The 5,220-nt window shown below is 40.7% G+C and overlaps 2 annotated features.

Moving 5' to 3' along the window:
- Positions 3,013–3,514: an enhancer, noted in NCBI's record as "H3K4me1 hESC enhancer chr3:87394799-87395300 (GRCh37/hg19 assembly coordinates)". NCBI's record gives its function as "activates a minimal SCP1, AML or CMV promoter by ChIP-STARR-seq in naive H9 embryonic stem cells {active_cell/tissue: H9 hESC(naive)}" and the evidence as "EXISTENCE:reporter gene assay evidence [ECO:0000049][PMID:30033119]".
- Positions 3,515–4,014: an enhancer, noted in NCBI's record as "H3K4me1 hESC enhancer chr3:87395301-87395800 (GRCh37/hg19 assembly coordinates)". NCBI's record gives its function as "activates a minimal SCP1, AML or CMV promoter by ChIP-STARR-seq in naive H9 embryonic stem cells {active_cell/tissue: H9 hESC(naive)}" and the evidence as "EXISTENCE:reporter gene assay evidence [ECO:0000049][PMID:30033119]".

A 5,220-nucleotide genomic window follows, 5' to 3' on the forward strand; every position in this document is an offset into this window, starting at 1 on the left:
ATTCAGTATGATATTGGCTGTGGGTTTGTCATAGATAGCTCTTATTATTTTGAGATACATCCCATGAATACCTAATTTATTGAGAGTTTTTAGCATGAAGGGTTGTTGAATTTTGTGAAAGGCCTTTTCTGCATCTATTGAGATAATCATGTGGTTTTTGTCTTTGGTTTTGTTTATATGCTGGATTACATTTATTGATTTGCGTGTATTGAACCAACCTTGCATCGCAGGGATGAAGCCCACTTGATCATGGTGGATAAGCTTTTTGATGTGCTGCTGGATTCGGTTTGCCAGTATTTTATTGAGGATTTTTGCATCAATGTTCATCAAGGATATTGGTCTAAAATTCTCTTTTTTGGTTGTGTCTCTGCCCGGCTTTGGTATCAGGATGACGCTGGCCTCATAAAATGAGTTAGGGAGGATTCCCTCTTTTTCTATTGATTGGAATAGTTTCAGAAGGAATGGTACCAGTTCCTCCTTGTACCTCTGGTAGAATTCGGCTGTGAAGCCATCTGGTCCTGGACTCTTTTTGGTTGGTAAGCTATTGATTATTGCCACAATTTCAGCTCCTGTTATTGGTCTATTCAGAGATTCAACTTCTTCCTGGTTTAGTCTTGGGAGGGTGTATGTGTCGAGGAATTTATCCATTTCTTCTAGATTTTCTAGTTTATTTGCGTAGAGGTGTTCATAGTATTCTCTGATGGTAGTTTGTATTTCTGTGGGATTGGTGGTGATATCCCCTTTATCATTTTTTATTGCGTCTATTTTATTCTTCTCTCTTTTTTTCTTTATTAGTCTTACTAGCGGTCTATCAATTTTGTTGATCCTTTCAAAAAACCAGCTCCTGGATTCATGAATTTTTTGGAGGGTTTTTGTGTCTCTATTTCCTTCAGTTCTGCTCTGATTTTAGTTATTTCTTGCCTTCTGCTATCTTTTGAATATGTTTGCTCTTGCTTTTCTTGTTCTTTTAATTGTGATGTTAGGGTGTCAATTTTGGATCTTTCCTGCTTTCTCTTGTGGGCATTTAGTGCCATAAATTTCCCTCTACACACTGCTTTGAATGCGTCCCAGAGATTCTGGTATGTTGTGTCTTTGTTCTCGTTGGTTTCAAAGAACATCTTTATTTCTGCCTTCATTTCGTTATGTACCCAGTAGTCATTCAGGAGCAGGTTGTTCAGTTTCCATGTAGTTGAGTGGTTTTGAGTGAGATTCTTAATCCTGAGTTCTAGTTTGATTGCACTGTGGTCTGAGAGATAGTTTGTTATAATTTCTTTTCCCTTACATTTGCTGAGGAGAGCTTTACTTCCAAGTATGTGGTCAATTTTGGAATAGGTGTGGTGTGGTGCTGAAAAAAATGTATATTCTGTTGATTTGGGGTGGAGAGTTCTGTAGATGTCTATTAGGTCTGCTTGGTGCAGAGCTGAGTTCAATTCCTGGGTATCCTTGTTGACTTTCTGTCTCGTTGATCTGTCTAATATTGACAGTGGGGTGTTAAAATCTCCCATTATTATTGTGTGGGAGTCTAAGTCTCTTTGTAGTCACTCAGGACTTGCTTTATGAATCTGGGTGCTCCTGTATTGGGTGCATATATATTTAGGACAGTTAGCTCTTCTTGTTGAATTGATCCCTTTACCATTATGTAATGGCCTTCTTTGTCTCTTTTGATCTTTGTTGGTTTAAAGTCTGTTTTATCAGAGACTAGGATTGCAACCCCTGCCTTTTTTTGTTTTCCATTTGCTTGGTAGATCTTCCTCCATCCTTTTATTTTGAGCCTATGTGTGTCTCTGCACATGAGATGGGTTTCCTGAATACAGCACACTGATGGGTCTTGACTCTTTATCCCATTTGCCAGTCTGTGTCTTTTAATTGGAGCATTTTGTCCATTTACATTTAAAGTTAATATTGTTATGTGTGAATTTGATCCTGTCATTATGGTGTTAGCTGGTTATTTTGCTCGTTAGTCCACGCAGCTTCTTCCTAGTCTTGATGGTCTTTACATTTTGGCATGATTTTGCAGCGGCTTGTATCGGTTGTTCCTTTCCATGTTTAGTGCTTCCTTCAGGAGCTCTTGTAGGGCAGGCCTGGTGGTGACAAAATCTCTCAGCATTTGCTTGTCTGTAAAGGATTTTATTTCTCCTTCACTTATGAAGCTTAGTTTGGCTGGATATGAAATTCTGGGTTGAAAATTCTTTTCTTTGAGAATGTTGAATATTGGCCCCCACTCTCTTCTGGCTTGTAGAGTTTCTGCCGAGAGATCCGCTGTTAGTCTGATGGGCTTCCCTTTGTGGGTAACCCGACCTTTCTCTCTGGCTGCCCTTAACATTTTTTCCTTCATTTCAACTTTGGTGAATCTGACAATTATGTGTCTTGGAGTTGCTCTTCTCGAGGAGTATCTTTGTGGTGTTCTCTGTATTTCCTGAATCTGAATGTTGGCCTGCCTTGCTAGATTGGGGAAGTTCTCCTGGATAATATCCTGCAGAGTGTTTTCCAACTTGGTTCCATTCTCCCCATCATTCACATGGTCCCAAATTTCTTGGAGGCCTTGCTTGTTTCTTTTTATTCTTTTTTCTCTAAACTTCCCTTCTCACTTCATTTCATTCACTTCATCTTCTATTGCTGATATCCCTTCTTCCAGTTGATCGCATCAGCTCCTGAGGCTTCTGCATTCTTCACGTAGTTCTCGAGCCTTGGTTTTCAGCTCCATCAGCTCCTTTAAGCACTTCTCTGTATTGGTTATTCTAATTATACATTCTTCTAAACTTTTTTCAAAGTTTTCAACTTCTTTGCCTTTGGTTTGAATGTCCTCCAGTAGCTCGGAGTAATTTGATCGTCTGAAGTCTTCTTCTCTCAGCTCGTGAAAGTCATTCTCCATCCAGCTTTGTTCCGTTGCTGGTGAGGAACTGCGTTCCTTTGGAGGAGGAGAGGCACTCTGCTTTTTAGAGTTTCCAGTTTTTTGGCTCTTTTTTTTCCCCATCTTTGTGGTTTTATCTACTTTTGGTCTTTCATGATGGTGATGTACAGATGGGTTTTTGGTGTGGATGTCCTTTCTGTTTGTTAGTTTTCCTTCTAACAGACAGGACCCTCAGCTGCAGGTCTGTTGGAGTACCTGGCCATGTGAGGTGTCAGTCTGCCCCTGCTAGGGGGTGCCTCCCAGTTAGGCTGCTCGGGGGTCAGGGGTCAGGGACCCACTTGAGGAGGCAGTCTGCCCGTTCTCAGATCTCCAGCTGCATGCTGGGAGAACCACTGCTCTCTTCAAAGCTGTCCGACAGGGACATTTAAGTCTGCAGAGGTTACTGCTGCCTTTTTGTTTGTCTGTGCCCTGCCACCAGAGGTGGAGCCTACAGAGGCAGGCAGGCCTCCTTGAGCTGTGGTTGGCTCCACCCAGTTCGAGCTTCCCTGCTGCTTTGTTTACCTAAGCAAGCCTGGGCAATGGCAGGCGACCCTCCCCCAGTCTCGCTGCCGCCTTGCAGTTTGATCTCAGACTGCTGTGCTAGCAATCAGTGAGACTCTGTGGGCGTAGGACCCTCCAAGCCAGGTGCGGAATATAATCTCCTGGTGAGCCGTTTTTTAAGACCATCAGAAAAGCACAGTATTCGGTGGGAGTGACCCGATTTTCCAGGTGCCATCTGTCACCCCTTTCTTTGACTAGGAAAGGGAACTCCCTGACCCCTTGCACTTCCCGAGTGAGGCAATGCCTCTCCCTGCTTCGGCTCGTGCATGGTGCGCGCACCCACTGACCTGCGCCCACTGTCTGGCACTCCCTAATGAGATGAACCCGGTACCTCAGATGGAAATGCAGAAATCACCCGTCTTCTGCGTCGCTCATGCTGGGAGCTGTAGACCGGAGCTGTTCCTATTCGGCCATCTTCAAGATTCTTTGAAAAAGAGAGAGGAGTTGGCACAAGTCAATATGGGGACAAAGTTGGTGAGAATTCCTTACTTTAAGAATTTACAGTGTGAGAACATGAGTTGGGAAATAAAACTGTAATAAAATTACATTTATATTTATTTGTAAACTCACACCATGTTGGAAATAAAAATAAAAATACAGAAGTATAGGTCGGGTGTGGTGGCTCACTCTTGTAATGCCAGCACTTGGGAGGCCAAGGCAGGTGGATCACGAGGTCAGGAGATTGAGACCATCCTGGCCAATATGTTGAAACCCTGTCTCTACTAAAAATACAAAAATTAGCTGGGTGTCGTGGCACGCATCTGTAATCCCAGCTACTCGGGAGGCTGAGGCAGGAGAATCCCTTGAACCCAGGAGGTGGAGATTGCATTGAGCTGAGATCGCGCCACTGCACTCCAGCCTAGAGACAGAGCAAGACTCCATCAAAAAAAAAGTATAAATATTCCATTATCCAACAATTCCTGTTGTAATAATCTATCCCACATAAATAACAGAATGTGAATATATGTGTATATATATGTATGTACATATGCATGTAGTTAGGTAGGTACATATACACATACACAGAGTGATATGTACATATATATCTAAATTCCATTTCAGTATTGTTTATATTAGCAAAAACTGGAGGCAAACTAAGGCGCCATCTACATCATGCATCTTTTTAAAGGAAATGTATCATATGTAATAAACTAATTTTAAGCAAAAATGCAGGTTACACGCTGATATGTAACAAGAAGTGTTAGAAAGAGATTTGTAAAATAGATACACATATTGATATATGTATTATGATGCCTGCATAAGTAAAGCAGAAAGTTAGGAAGTACATATAACTCTCAGTTTTTACCTTGGTGCGACTGGAGGGGTGAAAGAAAGAACTTTAATCTCCTTACAAAATTTTTAGAAGAGCTAATGGTATGAGTAAATATGGGGTAAATATTTATTTTTTATAACTTTCTGTATCTTATAAAAAATTTGTAATGAGTTAGATATTTATCTGTATATTAACTATCTGGTTTGCACAGATAGACTGCATATTTCTAAAGATTTTAAAGGTAATATTAGGAGATAAACATCTCTAACATGTCTTCCACTGGAAGAAGGAAAACCATGATTTTTACATGAATATATCATTTTGTGTTTTATAATTTAACAAGGACACAACAGAAAAAGATATGAAGTCAGGCAGGATTATTTAATGCATATTGGTAAAAAAAAGACTAACACTGGTTAAAAAGATTAAAAAGTAACAGAAAAATGAAAACAAATGCATAAGATCTAAAAGAAAGGGACAGAAAGACTACCATCAG

The sequence above is a fragment of the Homo sapiens genome, chromosome 3 (assembly GCF_000001405.40).
Source record: "Homo sapiens chromosome 3, GRCh38.p14 Primary Assembly".
Classification (NCBI taxonomy): domain Eukaryota; kingdom Metazoa; phylum Chordata; class Mammalia; order Primates; family Hominidae; genus Homo; species Homo sapiens.